Genomic DNA, 20003 nt, shown 5'->3' on the forward strand with positions numbered 1-20003 from the left:
GCTGCTTGAACACTCCAACTATAGAGCTGAGTACTCATCACCAGGAACATGTGGTCAGCAAAGCCAAAAATATTTAGTATCCAGTTATTTACACAAAGTTTGCCAACCCCTGGCCTAGACAATGGATCTGATAGCTATCCTCTGAACCAGGAAATCAAAGGCAATGCCCCAGGAAAGAAGGTGGAGTGACAGGTGAGGAGAAACCAGGCCCTCTGACTGTGGGGCAGAGCCTCCGTATCAGCTTGAGCTTTTTAGAACATACACTGCTATCCTGGTTTTAAGCTACTCTTACTCTGGAGCTCTGTCACATGCCAGAGCCTACCTCTTCATTCTTCAGCATCCTTGGCTCCCAAAGAAGTAGGTGACGTTAGAAAAGCAATCCGTGAAAACAAGTCCACGGGATCTTAACTGAAATCACTGGTGAAATCACTGACTTGGGAACATATAGATTAACTCTTAGTTGCATCCCTCACAATCCACCAAATGCACCTAAATTAACCCCTGCGGTCTACTTACACTAGGGAGTGATAACAGTGACAGGACAATTTTTTTTTTGAGGCGGAGTCTCGCTCTGTTGCCCAGGCTGGTGTGCAGTGGCGGGATCTTGGCTCACTGCAAGCTCCCCCTCCCGGGTTCACGCCATTCTCCTGCCTCAGCCTCCCGAGTAGCTGGGACTATAGGCGCCTGCCACCACGCCCAGCTCATTTTTTATATTTTTAGTAGAGACGGGGTTTCACCGTGTTAGCCAGGATGGTCTCGATCTCCTGACCTCATGATCCACCCGCCTCGGCCTCCCAAAGTGCTGGGATTACAAGTGTGAGCCACCACACCCGGCCCAACAGTGACAGGACAATTTAAAGCCAGAGGAGAAGATAATTACTAACCAGATCCAATGGGGGCCACAGTAACCCAACTCACCTCATCAATAAACAGCCAGACCTGATCCCCCACTTTCAGGTCACCGTAGATGGTTCCAATGTGTAGCACATACCCTCCTCGGACCTGAGCATTCTTCACTGTAAACTCTGTTTTCTAAGAGGGGTCAAGGAAGAGACCAATAAATAAATCCTTAAAAACATACAAATTTTCTTATATTTTCAATATAAACTCGTGTATATAACTTCTCTTTACATATGTAAATTGCACACACACACATACTCCCTTAATATCATTAAATATGATTAAATAGGCCAGGTGCAGTGGCTCATGACTGTAATCCCAGCACTTTGGGAGGCTCAGGTGAGTAGATCACCTGAGGCCAGGAGTTCGAGACCAGCTTGGCCAACATGGTGAAATCCCATCTCTACTAAAAAAATACAAAAATTAGCCAGGCGTGAAGGCAAGTGCCTATAATTCCACCTACTCAGGAGGCAGAGGCAGGAGAATCGCTTGAACCCGGAAGGCAGAGGTTACAGTGAGCCAAGATCATGCCACTGCACTCCAGCCTTGGCTACAGAGCGAGACTCCATCTCAAAAAAAAAAAAAAAAAATTAAATATATTTGTGCACACACACAGACATAACCAATATTAAGGAGCATCTTAGAATTTTTTTTTTTTTTTTGAGACAGAGTCTCGCTCAGCCACCCAAGCTGGAGTGCAGTGGCGCAATCTCGGCTCACTGCAACCACCCTCTCCTGGGTTCAAGCGATTCTCCCCTCTCAGCTTCCCGAGCAGGTGGGATTACAGGCATCCACCACCATACCTGGCTAATTTTTGTATGTCAGTAGAGACAGGGTTTCACCATGTTGGCCAGGCTGGTCTTGAACTCCTGACCTCAGGCGATCCACCCGCCTTGGCCTCCCAAAGTGCTAGGATTATAGTCATGAGCCACCACACCCAGCCGCATCTTTGAGTATCTAAAAGCCTCCATAAGGAACCTGAAGCCTAGGGAGACAAAGTAACTCATTCAGCAGCGGCAGAGCTCGAGGCTGAGTTTTCTACAAGGACATCTCCCCTTCAGAGAGCTGCCTCTCCTTTTTAATGTGCAAAGCTTGTAGGAAACTTGTACCCTGGCTGCAAAAATACTCCTACGAGGGTACCCGATGGCCAGGAAAGCAACAGGTACAAGCAACAGCTCCCTCGGCTTCAGAAATACCATGGAACCCAACCCAAAGGTGTGTCAGGTCTGCTCCCAAGGCCTGGAGCACTGTGGGGCAAAAGCAGCTCCCCGGCTCCACGCCTGGCCCTCCTCGGCTAACAAGGAAGAACTGTTGGCTCACATCTTCACTGCTGTCATCCACCTTCACCAGGTAGCCTTCGTCATAGATCTGGCCTCCTTGCTCAGCATAGAAACAGGTCTTGTCCAGCACCACTCCACACTCCTGGCCTGTGGACACCTCTTCCACGAACATCTTCTCCCTGCGCAGAGCCATCACCGTAGCCACTGTGTTCTCAAATACTGCTCAAGGGAAATGCATAGAAAGGGGACAGTGGGGTCAATGACCTTTTCACTCCTTCTTGGCTGACTTTTGCTGGATTCTCTTTCGCAAACTCTTCTTAGCTCCTAATTGTCCAATTGTATTTTGGAAGCAAACTCATTAGACAATATGAAAGGGCTTCGCGGCCGGGCGCGGTGGCTCCCCCTATAATCCCAGCACTTTGGGAGGTCGAGGCAGGCGGATCACGGGGTCAAGAGATCGAGACCATCCTGGCTAACACGCTGAAACCCTGTCTCTACCAAAAATACAAAACATTAGCCGGGTGTGGTGGCGGGCACCTGTAGTCCCAGCTACTCAGGAGGCTGAGGCAGAAGAATGGCGTGAACCCAGGAGGCGGAGCTTGCAGTGAGCCGAGATTGTGCCACTCCACTCCAGCCTGGGTGACAAAGCAAGACTCGGTCTCAAAAAAAAAAAAAAAAAAAAAAAAAAAAAAACAACAACAACAAAGGGCTTCGCATGCTGGCTTTCCATCAAAGAATGCAACACTCTGTCGGGTGACCAACTGTCCCAATTTTTAGGACTGAGGGGTTTCCTGGGATGCAGGCTTCAGTGTTAAAACTGGGACAATGGGTTACCCTAACTCTGAGCTACTGAACAGAAACTTGGTGCATCAGATTAGTAGATCTTTAAGAGTAGTAATAAATTCCCTAGTCCAAGGTCAACTCACAAAGAATGTACTCATTTTGTAGGCTTGCTTGAATAGATTTAGGTGTAAGATTGTTCTCAGCCGGGCACGGTGGCTCACACCTGTCATCCTGGCACTTTGTGAGGCTGAGACGGGTGGATAACCTGAGCTCAGCAGTTTGAGACCAGCCTGGCCAACACGGTGAAACCCCGTGTCCACTACAATACAAAAATTAGCCAGGTGTGGTGGCACATGCCTGTAATCCCAGTTAATTGGGAGGCTGAGGCAGGAGAATCACTTCAAGCTGGGAGGCAGAAGTTGCAGTGAGCCGAGAATGCGCCACTGCACTCCAGCCTGGGTGACAGAGCGAAACTCCATCTCAAAAAAAAAAAAAAGATTGTTCTCTACCAGGGCAAAAAAGCTGCAAAAACATGTATTGCCAATTTATTTTTATGTTTTTTTTGAGACAGGGTCTCACTCTGTAGCCCAGGCTGGAGTGCAGTGGCACAAATATGGCTGACTGCAGCCTCTCAATCTCCCAGGCTCAAGTGATCCTCCTGCCTCAGCCCCACAAATAGCTGGGACTACAGGCATGCGCCACCACACCTAGCTAATTTTTGTATTTCTGGTAGAGACAGGGTTTCGCCATGTTGCCCAGACTGGTCTCAAACACCAGAGCTCAACTGATCAGCCCACCCTGGCATCCCGAAGTGCTGGGATTACAGGCATGAGTCATTGCACTGGCTTTGTTTCTTAACTTTAGAATACTATTATCCGGTCGGGCGAGATGGCTTACGCCTGTAATCCCAGCACTTTGGGAGGCCAAGGCAGGCAGATCATGAGGTCAGGAGTTTGAGACCTGCCTGGCAAACATGGTGAAACCCTGTCTCTACTAAAAACACAAAAATCAGCCGGGTGTGGTGGTGCGTGGCTGTAATCCCAGCTACTTGGGAGGCTGAGGCCGGAGAATCGCTTGAACCCAGGAGGTGGAGGTTGCAGTGAGCCGAGATCACACTATTGCACTCCAGCCTGGGCAACAGAGGGAGATTCCATCTCAGAAAAAAAAAAGAATGCTATTAGGATAATAGCATTCTAACAGCATTAGGATAATAGAATCCTAATAGCATTCTTTTTCTTTTTCCCCGAGACGGAATTTCACTCTTGTTGTCCAGGCTGGAGTGCAATGGCATGATCTTGGCTCACTGCAACCTCTGCCTCCCAGGTTCAGGCGATTCTCCTGCCTCAGCCTCCCGAGTAGCTGGGATTACAGGGGCACGCCACCACGCCCGGCTAATTTCCGTATTTTTAGTAGAGATGGGGTTTCATCATGTTGGTCAGGCTGGTCTCAAACTCCTGACCTTAGGTGATCCACCTGCCCCGGCCTCCCAAAGTGTTGGGATTACAGGTGTGAGGCACAGCGCCAGGCCCCTAATAGCATTCTGATAGTCACTGTGGATTGTATCAATGTCAATTGCCCAGTTTCCTGCATGATGTTACAATTAGGGGAAACTGGATAAAAGGGTGTGAGACCCTTCCTACAAATTTTTTTTTTTTACAACTTCCTGTGACAATAATTATTTCAAAATAGAGTTAAGAAAACCTCCAGCCAAGGGTGCCTATGTGTATAAAAGTGCATAGCGTGACTGTACGGCACTCCAGGAGAGGCTGTCAGCAGTCTGCTGGAGAGCTAATCTTGAGAAACAATCTTTCAAATACCCCCCAGATACGGGGCAGAATGCTCAGATGTGGAAGGAGCACAGCAACATACCATAGCTACCACTGGAGTCCAAATGGTAATTGTACTTTGGGGAATCATCTGTGACCTCCAGACCCCGTGCCCGGAGCTCTTCGATAGCGTAAATGTCCAGCATAATGAGGTCTTCCCCACCAGCTCCCTTGCCCTGTGATTTCAGCTGTCAGCAAGAGAAACAAGCATAAGTTACCGTAAAGTAGGAGAAAAGGGACTCCAAAGGACTGGAACTTGCTAAACTATGCCCAGCATAAACTGCCAGAACAGGGTTTTTCAATCCTGGCACTACTGACATTTGGGGCCAGATCATTCTCTGTTGTGGAAACTTCTCTTGCAGTGTGGGATGCTGAGGGGCACCCTGGCCTCTACCAAGTACGTGACAGCAGGATCTGCCCCTAGTTGTGAAAATCAAAAATGTCTTCAGACATTATCGCCAATTACTCCCTGGAAGGCAGACTCGCCCCCACTTGAGAACCACTGATCTAGGGGAAAAAGCACTTCAAAGACTTTAATGGAAGGAAACTCATGCTCAGTCTGCAGCCAAGTGGTGCTGGGTTGGAAGGTGTTGGGTTTCCTGTTCACTCTCCAAGTTCTTTACCTGGGCCAGTTTCCTCTCCTCTTCAAAGCCATCCATGTCTACCACCAGGCCCTTCTCTTCAGCAATCAGTCCAGTCAGATCCACTGGAAACCCATAGGTGTCATAGAGGAGCCAAGCAGTGTCTCCTACACAGCACAAAGGAGGTGTGTCAAAAAAAACAGACAGCCCCTTTTCCATGCCAAGCCCTCCAAAAGGATGCTGGGACTGGCAGAAGGAATTAAAGACACAAGGCTATCAGTATCGGCCCTGTGTGCCCATCAGAAAATCCAGCACATCTTTTTCAGTTAACCTGGGGGAAGCACAATGGATGTCCTGATACAATTCTGTTTTGTTTTGTTTTGTTTTTTAAACCTCACCTGGGCTGGGCACCGTGGCTCGCGCCTGTAATCCCAGCACTTTGAGAGGCCGAGGCGGGCGGATCATGAGGTCAGGAGATTGAGACCATCCTGACTAACATGGTGAAACCCCGTCTCTAGGAAAAATACAAAAAATTTGGCCAGGCGCTGTGGCTCACGCCTGTAATCCCAGCACTTTGGGAGGCCGAGGCGGGCGGATCAGGAGGTCAGGAGATCGAGACCATCTTGGCCAATACGGTGAAACCCTGTCTCTACTAAAAATACAAAAAAATTAGCCGGGCATGGTGGCGGGCGCCTGTAGTCCCAGCTACTCGGGAGGCTGAGGCAGGAGAATGGCGTGAACCCGGGAGGTGGAGCTTGCAGTGAGCCGAGATAGCGCCACTGCACTCCAGCCTGGGCGACAGAGCAAGACTCTGTCTCAAAAATAAAAAATAAAAAAAAATAAATAAAAAAATTGCCAGGCGCGGTGGCGGACACCTGTAGTCCCAGCTACTAGAGAGGCTGAGGCAGGAGAATGGCATGACCCTGGGAGGCGGAGCTTGCAGTGAGCTGAGATCACACCACTGCACTCCAGCCTGGGCAACAGAGTGAGACTCCATCTCAAAAACAAAAACAACCTCACCTGGACAATTTTCTATTTCTTTTTTTTTGAGAGTCTCACTCTGTTGCCCAGGCTGGAGTGTACTGGTGTGATCTCGGCTCATTGCACTCTCCAGCTCCAGGATTCAAGCGATTCTCCTGCTTCAGTCTCCCGAGTAGCTGGGATTATGGGTGCCCGCCATCATGCATGGCTAATTTTTGCATTTTTAGTAGAGATGGGGTTTTACCATGTTGGCCAGGCTGGTCTCAAATTCCTGACCTCAGGTGATCTGCCTGCCTCAGCCTCCCAAAGTGATGGGATTAAAGGTGTGAGCCACTGTGCCCAGCCTTACACATCTATTTCTTTTTCTTTTTCTTTTTGAGATGGTGTTTCGCTCTTGTTGCCCAGGCTGGAGTGCAGTGGCATGATTTTGGCTCAATGCAACCTCCGCCTCCCCGGTTCAAGCAATTCTCCTGTCTCAGCCTCCCAAGTAGCTGGGATTACAGGCGCATGCCACCACACCCAGCTAATTTTTTGTATTTTTAGTAGAGACGGGGTTTTGCCATGTTGGGCAGGCTGGTCTTGAACTCATGACCTCGTGATCCGCCCGCCTCGGCATCCCAAAGTGCTAGGATTACAGGTGTGAGCCACCACACCCAGCTGACAAATCTATTTCTTGATCTGAATGTGTGTTCAATTTGTGAAAATTCATCAAGCTTTTCCCTTGTTCATTATACTTCAATAAAGAATCTTTGGAAACTGGGGAGAAAATCTTTGGAATTAATTTTCCCCAAATTGCAAAACAGTACATACCAAATATTCCCACTTTTGCTTGAAAAATACACACACACAAATATCTACATGTATTTGCATGCAAACAGAGAAGAATCCTGAAGAGTTCTACACCAAACCATTAAGAGTTGTTCCCTCTGAGAAATGAGTGTGGAAAAGAGGATTTTCATTTTCTGAACACTTTTGTATTCTGTATTGTTTGAATACTTTGGCCACAATGATGCATTACTTTTACCATTTTACTATAAATTCCAGTTTGCACCAAAAGCAATTCAATCAAGCTATGTTCAGCCTCAGAGACATGAGAGCCCACAGTCAGTCTGTCAGAAAGGGCTTGTCTTTCCCAGAAAGATCAAACGGCCAGGATGGAGAAGGGCAAAAACTGGTACCTACCGGGAATGGTCTTGCTGTCTCCCAGGCTCTGAATTTTCCTGTCCAGGATGCGACGCCCTCTGCTGAGAGTCTTGAGAAACTGCACCTCTTCTTCATTAATGATGTCCTTCACCATGTCTGGGTCCTTCTTCAGCTCAGGAAATGCATCTCCCTGACAAAGGGGAAGCAAGATGAGGGGCTGGATGAAGCCAGAGACTGTTCCCTGCCCCGTCTTAAAAAAGCTCCTTAGCTGGGTGCAGTGGCTCACGCCTGTAATCCTACCACTTTGGGAAGCCGAGGCAGGTGGATTGCCTGAGCTCAGGAGTTCAAGACCAGCCTGGGCAACACGGTGAAACCCTGTCTCTACTAAAACAGAAAAGATTAGCCAGGCTTGGCGGTGTGCACCTGTAATCCCAGCTATTCGGAAGGCTGAGACAGGAGAATCGCTTGAACCCAGGAGACAGAGGTTGCAGTGAGCCAAGATCACTCTATTGCACTCCAGCGTGGGTGACAGAGTGAGACTCCGTCTCAAAAAACAGCAACAAAAAGCTGCTTAACAGTATGCCCTCTCCCACTCCATCCCTCTTAACGGACTGCTTTAGCACAGAAGGGTAAGCAGAGAAATAAACCTACCAGGGACTGGACGACAACATCCACTAACGTAGCAAAGAAGCCCCTGCTGGCATTGAGCTTTTCATGGGCGTATCGGACAGCTCGGCGGAGAATCCGTCTCAACACATATCTGTAAGAGGCAAAAACTAGTCCCCAACGTTCCCAGCTGAGGGTTTTGTCTTGAGTCCCTTGGAATCCTACCCAAAGCAACACCTCTTTCAGGAACTTTCTTTTATCCTAAGCCTGCTTCTTTCGCATTCCCCAAGGTCATTAATTTTAGCACAAGACTCAGTAACATACCCACAAATACCCGTCAAGGCTTCCCTAGGGTAAACGCTGGTTTGTTTTCCTTTCACATTCAGTTACCCATAGAGGGAGGAAAGATGGACAGACCAGATGTGTACTTGATGCCTGTGATCCCAGGTCCTGCCTGTCAGTAAGAGAGATTCCCAGGGCTGGTCAATACCTACCCTCACCCTGCCCCTGCCAATCTCCTATCAGGCAACTTTGAATACAATCCTTATCATCTGTACTCAGCAGCAGAGATTTAATATAGTGGCAACTCTGTGACACTAGCTGAAACTCCCTTCATCCCTTAAAAAAGGGGTGGGGGATTCTTCCACCTGCCCAAGACAAGGAAACAATAACGAAAGATGGCTTTAAGTTTCATAAAGAGGCCGGGCATGGTGGCTCACACCTGTAATCCCATCACTTTGGGAGGTCGTAGCAGGTGGATCATCTGAGGTCAGGAGTTCGAGACCAGCCTGGCCAACATGGCAAAACCCCACCTCTGGCCGGGCACGGTGGCTCACGCCTGTAATCCCAGCACTGTGGGAGGCCGAGGCGGGCGGATCACCTGAGGTTGGGAGTTTGAGACCAGCCTGACCAACATGGAAGGAACCCCATCTTTACTAAAAATACAAAACTAGGCATGGTGGCTCATGCCTGTAATCCCATCTATTCGGGAGGCTGAGGGAAAAGAATTGCTTGAACTCAGGAGGTGGAGGTTGCGGTGAGCCAAGATCGGGCCATTGCACTCTAGCCCGGGCAACAAAAGCAAAATTCTGTCTCAGAAAAAAAAAAAAAAAAAAAAAAAAAAAAAAAAAAAAAACAACCGTCTCTACTAAAAGTACAAAAATTAGCCAGGCGTGGTGGTGTGCACCTATAATCCCAGCTACGTGGGAGGCTGAGGCAGAATCACTTGAACCCAGCAGGCAGAGGTTGCAGTGAGGCAAGATCACGCCATTGTACTCCAGCCTGGGCAACAGAGCAACACTCAATCTCACACACAAAGAAAAGTTTCATAAAGAGTCACACATAGCACACGTGGTGCCGCTCCAAACACCACCCAGTGTGCAGCATACTTACCCACGCCCTGTGTTGTCAGGCCGGCCACCATCAGCCAGTGCCACAGTGATGGTCCGAGCGTGGTCAGCCAGCACCCGGTAGGCCATGTCAATCCCATCGGCATCCTCAGCACCAACTTTCCCAGTGTATGGTCGGGCACCTGTGCCCTATAGATAAGAATCAGGAGGCAGCCCTTTAGGAAGCAGACTTTCTGGCGCTACCTTGCCCAAGGAGGTTCCTGGAGGATTGAGGAGCATTAGCAGAAAGGATGCCGGTCTTGCCAGATCCTATAACCCCAAGAACGTGACATTGGGGAAGTAGAGAGACTCCAGCCAGCCCCTACACTCAAAAATTATACTGTCTCAGGTCTAGAGCCTCACATTATTATTTTTTTTTTGTAGTCAGCTATTTAATTAGGTTCTTAAGACATTTAGAACACCAATTTGTGGAGCCTCACATTATTAACAATGAAGTAGGCAGATGGAAATGGGTACCCTTGGCTGGCAAAGCATATGGTCATTTTTTCTTTGACAGCACTGTTAAGAGTACAGCCTGGAAAACTCCACAGAAGTTTACAATGTTTGCAATAGCACCAGTACCTTCTGAATGGCTTCAAAGTAAGGGACAAAAAGGTCAGTGTCATAGTTGGACATCTTATTCTGCAGCACAGATACCAGTCGTTCCAGGCCCATCCCTGTGTCAATGCTTTTCTTGGGAAGAGGTTTCAGAATGCCATCAGCTTCCCTGTATGATCCAGAAGAAGAGGAGGTTGAAGCAGAGACTCAAGCTGCCACCTCTCCAGTCCCTGCTGGTTAAAATTCATTTACAGAACAGTTTGCAGGCTGTGACCATCTGCCATTTGCCCGGTTTGGTGGGAAGAGGGAAGTGGAGGGAGAAAGGAAGGAGAAAGGAAGAGTTCATTCTTAAATGAACTCTGGGGTTCATTTAAGAGTGAGGAAAGGCCAGGCGCAGTGGCTCATGCCTGTAATCCCAGCACTTTGGGAGGCCGAGGTGGTGGACCATCTGAGGTCAGGAGCTCGAGACCAGCCTGCTCAACATGAAGAAACCCCATCTCTACTAAAAATACAAAATTAGCCGAGCATGGTGGCACATGCCTGTAATCCCAGCTACTCGGGAGGCTGAAGCAGGAGAATCGCTTGAACCCAGGAGGCGGAGGTTGTGGTGAGCTGAGATTTCACCATTGCACTACAGCCTGGGCAACAAGAGCAAAACTCCATCTCAAAAAAAAAAAAAAAAAAGAAAAGAAAAAGACTGGGCATGGTGGCTCACGCCTGTAATACCAGCATTTTGGGAGGCCGAGGCGGGGGAATCACTTGAGGTCAGGAGTTCGAGACCAGCCTGGCCAACATGATGAAACCCCATCCCTGCCAAAAATATTTTAAAAATTAGCCTGGCATGGTGGCATGCACCTGTAACCCTAGCTACTCAGGAGGCTGAGGCAGGAGAACTCAGCAGGCTGAGGCAGGAGAATCGCTTGAACCCAGCAGGCAAAGGTTGCAGTGGGCTGAGATCTTGCCACTGCACTCCAGCCTGGGTGACAGAGCAAGACTCCATCTCCAAAAACAAAAACAAAAACAAAAACAAAACTGAGGCAAGCTTCAAGGAAATAGGCTTTAAAACAGCAGTCCAGTTCTGGCACGGTGGCTCACACCTATAATCCCAGCACTTTGGGAGGCTGAGGCGGGCGGATCACCTGAGGTTGGGAGTTCGAGACCAGCCTGACCAACATGGAGAAACCCCGTCTCCACTAAAAATACAAAATTAGCCGGGCGTGGTGGCACATGCCTGTAATCCCAGCTACTCGGAAGGCTGAGGCAGGAGAATCGCTTGAACCCAGGGCACAGATGTTGCAGTAAGCCAAGATCACACCATTGCACTCCAGCCTGGGTAACAAGAGGAAAACTCTGTCTCAAAAAAACAAAAAAAAAAAACAGCAGCCCGAAGTACAGCAAGCATGACATTATAGGAATAGCTCGCAAGAAGCTATTATGTGCGATAAGGTTTAGTTCATGAAAGAATAGGCCCATCCTTGTTCCAGAGATCAGACAGGTAATCTGAGAAATAAAGAAATGAGCTTTTAGCTGAGAAGAGAGCTACACAGCTCCGAGTTCCTCCTCCCCTGCTCAGCTCAAGGAAAGGAATGGAGTAGGAACCCAAGGCTACCTGTTATACTGGATGAACACAAGGTTCCAGATCTCCAGCACATTAGGGTCGTCCTGGTTGACAAGATGTGCGGCGTCCCGACCACCAATCCGGTCGTAGTGGATCTCACTGCAAGGACCACAGGGGCCCGTGTCACCCATCTCCCAGAAGTTATCCTTCATGTTGCCTGGGAGGATTTTGGTGTCATCCAGCCTGACAAAGGAGTAAAGATAAGTCCAGTTACAGCCCCTGACAAGAGTTCTGCCCAGACTTGCAACCACCGCAAAAGAAATTCTTAGGATTGGCCGGGCACAGTGGCTCATGTTACTGCACTCCAGCCTAGACAACAGAGCGAGACTCTGTCTCAAAAAAGAAAAAAAAAAAATTCTTAGAATTTTTAATGAAGAAGTTCCAACCTTCAGCAAGTACTAATGCTAAGCCTGCACATTAAACCTGCTAAAGAAGCTGGGCGTGGTGGCTCATGCCTGTAATCCCAGCATTTTGGGAGGCCGAGGCGGGCGGATCACCTGAGGTTGGGAGTTTGAGACCAGCCTCATCAACATGGAGAAACCTTGTCTCTACTAAAAATACAAAAAATTAGCTGGGTGTGGTGGCGCATGCCTGTAATCCCAGCTACTCGGGAGGCTGAGGCAGGAGAATCACTAGAACCCAGGAGGCAGAGGCTGCGATGAGCCGGGATCGCGCCATTGCACTCCAGCCTGGGCAACGAGAGCAAAACTCCATCTCAAAAAAAAAAAAAAAAAAAAAAAAAAAAAACCCGCTAAAGAAACAGCACATGACTCTTCTCAAGAGTGCCTACAATAGAAGACAGTACAAAATATACACATGATATGCTCGAAACTCAATGAAAATACACAAGGACATGAGTAAGGCCTAGAAAGGAACACATAATAATGAAAACGCTGGCCACGCGCATTGCTTGAGCTCAGGAGTTCGAGACCAGCCTGGGCAACATTGCGAAACCCCGACTCTCTAAAAAATACAAAAAAAAATTAGCTGGGGGGGTGATGCATACCTGTAGTCCCAGCTACTCGGGAGAGGATCACTTGAGCCCAGGAAGTTGAGGCTGCAGTGAGCTGTGATCATGCCACTGCACTCCAGCCTGGGTGACACACACACACACACACACACACACACACACACAAAAGATTGTGCTTGCTTATCTTTTAAAAGCTACACTTTTAAAGTGTAGATATACAGTACATGAAGTCAAGGTAAAAGAGGATTTTAAAAACCAGCGTCAAGATTAATATTTAATTTTTACAGGTGTCACTACCCAAAATTCCAACTACACTTAGACTACAGAGTCAACCGAATAGGAGTTTTAGATCAAGTAAAAGGGGAAGTTGGGTTGGAATAATATATCTAGAGTAAAAGTAATTAAAAAAAGAGAAGCAGCCCTGTTTCCAAGTATAGTAAAAAGCTATGCACTAAAGGATGAAAGAATTAAGTAAAAGGAACAAGAAAATGAGGCAAACACATCATGGACAGCCCAGCTGTCTACAGAGGGCACACACCCCATGTTCAGATTCTCCTTGATGCAGCACTTCACAAATTCGACCAAGTTCACAGCACAGAACACATATAGCTCACCTACTGTCTTAGCTTTTATACTATGTGATTATACTTTAGAATTACATTATGCCAAAAAAACTGGCTAGGCACAGTGGCTCATATCTGTAATCCCAGCAATTTGAAAGGTCAAGGCAGGTAGATCGCTTGAGCTCAGGAGTTCAAGATCAGCCTGGGCAACATAGCAAAACCCTGTCCCTACAAAAAATACAAAAATTAGCCAGACAGGGCCGGGCGCAGTGGCTCACGCCTGTAATCCCAGCACTTTGGGAGGCCAAGGCAGGCCGATCATGAGGTCATGAGATCGAGACCATCCTGGCTGACACGGTGAAACCCCGTCTCTACTAAAAAATACAAAAAATTAGCCGGGCGTGGTGGTGGGCGCCTGTAGTCCCAGCTACTCAGGAGGCTGAGGCAGGAGAATGGCATGAACCCGGGAGGCGGAGCTTGCAGTGAGCCAAGATCGCGCCACTGCACTCCAGCATGGGCGACAGAGCGGGACTCCGTCTCCAAAAAAAAAAAAAAAAAAAAAAAAATTAGCCAGGCAGGTGGCGAATGCTTCTAGTCCTAGTTACTCGGGAGGCTGAGGTGGGACGATCGCCTGAGCTCAGGCAGTAAACTATGATTATGCCACTGCACTCCAGCCTGGGTGAGAGTGAGACCCTGTCTCAAAAAAACGAAACAAAAAAATTCCTTTTTCCAGCTTGGTGTGGTGGCTCATGCCTGTAATCCCAGCACTTTGGGAGGCCGAGGTGGGTGAATCACCTGAGGTCAGGAGTTCGAGACCAGCCTGACCAACATGGAGAAACCCGTCTCTACTAAGAAAAAAAAAAAAAAAATTAGCTGGGTGTGGTGGCACGTGCCTGTAATCCCAGCTACTCGGGAGGCTGAGACAGGAGAATTGCTTGAATCCGGGAGACGGAGGTTGCGGTGAGCCAAGATCGCACCATCACACTCCAGCCTGGGCAACAAGAGCGAAACTCCATCTCAAAAAAAGAAAAAAAAATTTCCTTTCTCCTAGTCTATTTCATTTCCATAAGAAACAAACTGTTTCATATGAAGAATACAACTCTGTTGAAAAAGACAGACATGGCTGGGCACGGTGGCTCACACCTGTAATCCCAGCACTTTGGGAGGCCGAGGCGTGTGGATCACCAGGTCAGGAGTTCAAGACCAGCCTGGCCAACATGATGAAACCCCATCTCTACTAAAAATACAAAAATTAGCCAGGCGTGGTAGTGTGTGCCTATAATCCCAGGTACTCGGGAGGCTGAGGCAGGAGAATTGCTTGAACCCAGGAGGCAGAGGTTGCAGTGAGCTGAGATCGCGTCATTGCACTCCAGCTCTGGGCGACAGAGCGAGATTCCATCTCGGCGGGGGTGGGGGAGTGGAGTGGGGGTGGGGAAGGAAAAGATACACACATACACACAAGGTTACAGAACTATGAACAAGGCCAGGAAGACTAGATATGGGATATTAAACTATTAATGATGATTGAGGGAACTTCCACTTTCTATTTTCTACATTTCTATAAGGTTTGAATTTTTACAACACACGTGTAACTTTTAAAACTATATAAAGTAAAAAAAAAAAGACTTGTTTTGGCTTTCAACAACAGAATGATTGGCTGGGCACAGTGGCTCACATCTGTAATCCTAGCACTTTGGGAGGCCAAAGCGGGTGGATCACCTGAAGTCAGGAGTTTGAGACTAGCCTGGCTAACATGGTGAAATCCCATCTCTACTAAAAATACAAAAATTAGCCAGGTGTGGTGGCGCGCACCTGTAGTCCCAGCTACTCAGGAGGCTGAGGCAGAAGAATCGCCTTAACCCGGGAGGCAGAGGTTACAGTGAGCCAAGATCGCACCAGTGCACTCCAGCCTAGGTGACAGACTGAGACTCTGTCTCAAAAACAAACAAACAAACATAAACAACAGAATTATTGAACATATTAAGAAGCAACGAATGGATCTAAAGATATGGGCCAGGCGTGGTGACTCATGCCTGTAATCCCAGCACTTTGGGAGGCCACGGCGGGCAGATCACGAGGTCAGGAGATCGAGATCATCCTGGCTAACACGGTGAAACCCAGTCTCTACTAAAAAATATATATATATAAAAAAACAATTGGCCGGGCATGGTTCCTCACGCCTGTAATCCCAGCACTTTGGGAGGCCGAGGCAGGCGGATCACGAGGTCAGGAGATCGAGACCACCCTGGCTAACACGGTGAAACCCCGTCTCTACTAAAAAATACAAAAAATTAGCCGGGCGTGGTGGTGGGCGCCTGTAGTCCCAGCTACTCGGGAGGCTGAGGCAGGAGAATGGCGTGAACCTGGGAGGCGGAGCTTGCAGTGAGCTGAGATCGCGCCACTGCACTCCAGCCTGGGTGACAGAGCGAGACTCCAACAACAACAACAACAAAAATATATATATATTAGCTGGGTGTGGTGGCAGGCATCTGCAGTCCCAGCTACTCAGGAGGCTGAGGAAGGAGAATGGCATGAACCCAGGAAGCAGAGTTTGCAGTGAACTGAGATCACGCCACTGCACTCCAGTCTGGGAGACAGAGCAAGACTCCATCTCAAAAAAAAAAAAAAAAAAAAAAAAACCATATGAATGCGGCCGGGCACGGTGGATTACCTGAGGTCAGGAGTTCGAGACCAGCCTGGCCAACATGATGAAACCCCGTCTCTACTAAAAAAAATACAAAAGTTAGCTGGGCATGGTGGCACACGCCTGTAATCCCAGCTACTTGGGAGGCTGAGGCAGGAGAATTGCTTAAGCCCAGGAGACAGAGGTTGCAGTGAGCCGAGGTCGTGCCACTGCACTCCAGCCTAGCTGACAGAGCAAGCTCTGTCTCAAAAAAATAAATAAATAAATAAATAAAGATATTAATGCATCTAAAGATAATTACTCTGTCGCCCAGGCTGGAGTGCAGTGGAGTGATCTCAGGTCACTGCAACCTCCACCTCCTGGGTTCAAGCGATTCTCTAGCCTCACTCCTCCCCATGTGCATCTCAAAAGGAACCCTGAGATGCAAAATGACCACATATTCCAGGTCATAAAACCCCACTCTGGCACTGAGTGTCATTTCACTCCTCCATACTCTCAAGAAGTGATGTGCATTCTTACCCCAAATTTTGCCAGATCTGTTTGCATTCCAGATCTGCTTCTAAGCCAGCTGCTTCATCCCCGCCAAAGTAAGTAACATAAAGTCTTTCAATGGGAATGCCAAACTCTTGGGTGAGGAGTTCCAGAGCCATCTTACATGCCAATTCCTACAAAAAGAACAGAGAGAAAGATATGGAACATTGCCAAACCAAAATCTATTTAGTATGAGACCAGATGCTAGGAACACAGATACAAAATCACAACATGTTCACTCTAAATTCAAATTCAAGATCAGTTTATGTAAGAAATCCAAATATATACTGAAATCACCAAATTATAGGTACTACTTCCAGGAAGTCTTAGAATTAATAAATGCCATTCATTCCTGAATCACCTAGATGATATTTCATATTTTAAAACATGCAAAATTAGAACCCAGTTCCCAGTGTGGAAAAGACCATTTTCCTCAAAACCCTAGTGGTTCTTCTGCTCTGAACTTACCTTAAAGTAATCTCCAAAAGACCAAGAGCCCAGCATCTCGAAGAAGGTGTGATGATAGACATCCTTGCCCACATCGTCCAGGTCATTATGTTTGCCCCCAGCCCGGATGCACTTCTGGGTATTGGCAGCTCTGCTCAGCTTTGCCATGGGGTGAGATGGGTCAATTGTGTTCAGGAAAATGGGTTTAAACTAAAAGAGAAGGACAGCAGTTCAACTTTTAAAGGGTGCAAGTGATGTCAGGTGGCCACACACTAGCAGGAAGAGACGACCACACACTAACTGTGCAGTTCATGATTAACATGCCTGGAATATAGACACTTGTCAGAACAGGTGGCCTGGTGGAGCCAAAGCAGAGGGTAGCCTCTCATGGAGCAGTTTCTCCTTGAACCTAGCTCCCTAACAGTCCCCACCACCACGAGTGACACCACCTGCAGAGGGGAAAGGCCTGCCAGATCTAACAGCCACAGGTTGATGTGGTAAAACGTGGGCTTCTTCACCAGTCTCTGAAGTTCAGGGCTTATACCATCTTTCTGGAAGAACTTATCCTGAAAATTGGTATGTTCACTTGGCAGTAAATGTGAGGAAGAAGAAAAAAAAACTGACACATATTAAGGGAATAATATCAGCACACTGATGAATGATTGGATGTATCAGTCGTCTAGCTGGGACGGCCTTGCTCTGAGGATGTATCAGGTCATGCTTTGATGTATCATTGTTATTTGTTAACTTTGTTTTATTTTTCCCACTAGATCTGTTCAATTCACTGCTATCCAATTTGGTAGCCACTAGACACTTTTTTTTTTTTTTTTTGAGATGGGTCACTGTCGCCCAGGCTGGAGTACAGTGGCACAATCTCAGGTCACTGCAACCTCCATCTCCCGGGTTCAAGCGATTCTCTTGCCTCAGCCTCCCAAGTAGCTGAGATTACAGGCACGTACAGGTACACCTGGCTAATTTTTGTATTTTTAGTAGAGACAGGGTTTCGTCATGTTGGCCAGGCTGGTCTCGAACACCTAACCCCAAGTGATTTGCCCGCCTCAGCCTCCTAAAGTGCTGGGATTACAGGCATGAATGACTGCGCCAGGTCTTACCATTAGACACTTGTGACCATGTAAAACTGAATTAAAATTAGGCTGGGCAAGGTGGCTCACACCTGTAATCCCACCACTTTGGGAGGCCAAGAAGGGAGGATTCCTTCGAGCCCAGAGTTCAAGACCAGCCTGGGAAACATAAGGAGACCCCTTCTCTATTTTTATAAAAATAAAAAACTAAAATTAAATAATTAGTAATTAATATTTTTAAAAATTAGAAATTCTCAGCTGGGCGCAGTGGCTCATGCCTGTAATCCCCAGCACTTCAGGAGGCTGAGGTGGGCGGATCACCTGAGGTCGGGAGTTCGAGACCAGCCTGACCAACATGGAGAAACCCTGTCTCCACTAAAAATGCAAAATTAGCCAGCCATGGTGGTGCACGCCTGTAATTCCAGCTACTCAGGAGGCTGAGGCAAGAGAATCACTTGAACCCGGGAGGCAGAGGTTGCAGTGAGCCAAGATCGTGCCACTCTACTCCAGCCTGGGCTACAGAGTGAGACTCTGTCTCCAAAAAAAAAAAAAAGCAAGAGAGAAAGAAAAAAATTAGAAATTCTGTTCCTCAGTCACACTAGCTCAATAATCACACGACTGACGGCTGCCATGTTGAGGAGAACATTTCTGTCACTGCAGAAAATTCTACTGGACAGTCCCGTATTAGATCACAAACTCCTTAAAAGCAAACACTCTCTCACTCATCTCTGTATCTTCGGCACCTAGCTGGGTGCCTAATATCATTTCAAATTGGGGGAAAAAAAAAAGGCAAGGTATTTGCTGATCAAGAGGCAATATGGCACAAAGGTTAAGGAAGTGACTATCTGGGTTCAAGTCCACACTGGCACTTACCGACTATGTGAGCATGGACAACTGACTTGAGATCTCAGTGCCTCAGTAGGGATGGCAACAGAGTTCGGCGTAAATGAGTTATTGTACGCGAAGGACACAGAGCAGCGCCTGGCACACAGTAAGTGCTGCATGCAGGCTGACAGCTACTGTCAATAAGAAAATGTTTACAAGGCCGGGCGTGGTGGCTCACGCCTGTAATCCCAGCACTTTGTGGGGCCGAACCAGGCAGATCACAAGGTCAGGAGTTCGAGACCAGCCTGGCTAAGATGGTGAAACCCCATCTCTACTAAAAATATAAAAATTAGACAGGCATGGTGGGGGGGTGCCTGTAGTCCCAGCTACTTGGGAGGCTGAGGCAGGAGAACTGCTTGAACCTGGGAGGCAGAGGTTGCAGTGAGCTGAGATTGCGTCACTGAATTCCAGCTGGGGTGACAGGGCAAAACTTCATCTCAAAAAAAAAAAAAAAAAAAAAAAAAAGGGCCAGGTGCGGTGGCTCACACCTGTAATCCCAGCACTTTGGGAGGCCGAGATGTGCGGATCACCTGAGGCCAGGAGTTCCAGACCAGCCTGGCCAACGTGGCGAAACCCTGTCTCTACTAAAAATATAAAAATTAGCCAGGTGTGGTGGCAGACACCTATAATCCTAGCCACTCGGGAGGGTGAAGCAGGAGAATCGCTTGAATCCAGGAGGCGTAGGCTGCAGTGAGCCGAGATTTCACCATTGCACTCCAGCCTGGGCAACAAGAGCAAAACTCTGTCTCAAAAAAAAACAAAAAAAAAAAAAAAAAGAAAAGTTTACAAACACTGTACTCCCTGGTTCTTGTTCAGGCGGCTCATGTGGAAGGTGACAAAGCTTGCACCCAGGTATGTCTGAATAGAAACAGTAGCTTTCCAGTGTTCCAAAAGCCTATCCCGTTGAATGAGACCACCTAAAATTAATGCCTCCAATTCTAGGTATATGCATAGGACTCACACATAACTGAAAATATTTTTCTTTTTTTTCCATTTTGAGACAGGGTCTTGCTCTGTCACCCTGCCTGGAGTCCAGTGGCACGATCACGGCTCACCTCAACTCCTGGGCTCAAGCAATACTCCCACCTCAGCCTCCCAAGAGGCTGGAACTACAGGTGTGAGCCACCACCAGCTAATTTTTCAATTTTTCTTTTGCTTTAATTTTTCTTTAATTTTTCTCTTTTCCTTTCAGACAGGGTCTTCCTATGTTGCCCAGG

At 47.7% G+C, this 20003-nt stretch overlaps 1 protein-coding gene and 1 pseudogene across 2 annotated transcripts in view, besides 1 other annotated feature; one reads left to right on the forward strand and one right to left on the reverse strand.

Moving 5' to 3' along the window:
* AARS1 (alanyl-tRNA synthetase 1) overlaps positions 1-20003 on the reverse strand; it is a 37209-nt gene that overhangs the window by 7828 nt on the left and 9378 nt on the right. For both annotated transcript variants that reach the window (NM_001605.3, XM_047433666.1), the window contains exons 3-13: positions 16841-17029; positions 16361-16506; positions 11656-11847; positions 10071-10215; positions 9493-9638; positions 8146-8254; positions 7534-7684; positions 5413-5537; positions 4833-4977; positions 2221-2399; positions 919-1032 (exon numbers count right to left, since the gene is read on the reverse strand). In NM_001605.3, the coding sequence (NP_001596.2) occupies positions 919-1032; positions 2221-2399; positions 4833-4977; positions 5413-5537; positions 7534-7684; positions 8146-8254; positions 9493-9638; positions 10071-10215; positions 11656-11847; positions 16361-16506; positions 16841-17029 (1641 nt within the window). The remainder of the gene's footprint in view (positions 1-918; positions 1033-2220; positions 2400-4832; positions 4978-5412; positions 5538-7533; positions 7685-8145; positions 8255-9492; positions 9639-10070; positions 10216-11655; positions 11848-16360; positions 16507-16840; positions 17030-20003) is intronic.
* Positions 205-447: a silencer, noted in NCBI's record as "fragment chr16:70294233-70294475 (GRCh37/hg19 assembly coordinates)". NCBI's record gives its function as "represses an EF-1alpha promoter that drives an FKBP-Casp9 reporter gene in an ReSE screen in K562 erythroleukemia cells {active_cell/tissue: K562}" and the evidence as "EXISTENCE:reporter gene assay evidence [ECO:0000049][PMID:32094911]".
* On the forward strand, positions 15944-16227 carry RN7SL279P (RNA, 7SL, cytoplasmic 279, pseudogene; annotated as a pseudogene).

The sequence above is a fragment of the Homo sapiens genome, chromosome 16, assembly GCF_000001405.40.
Source record: "Homo sapiens chromosome 16, GRCh38.p14 Primary Assembly".
NCBI classification, from domain to species: domain Eukaryota; kingdom Metazoa; phylum Chordata; class Mammalia; order Primates; family Hominidae; genus Homo; species Homo sapiens.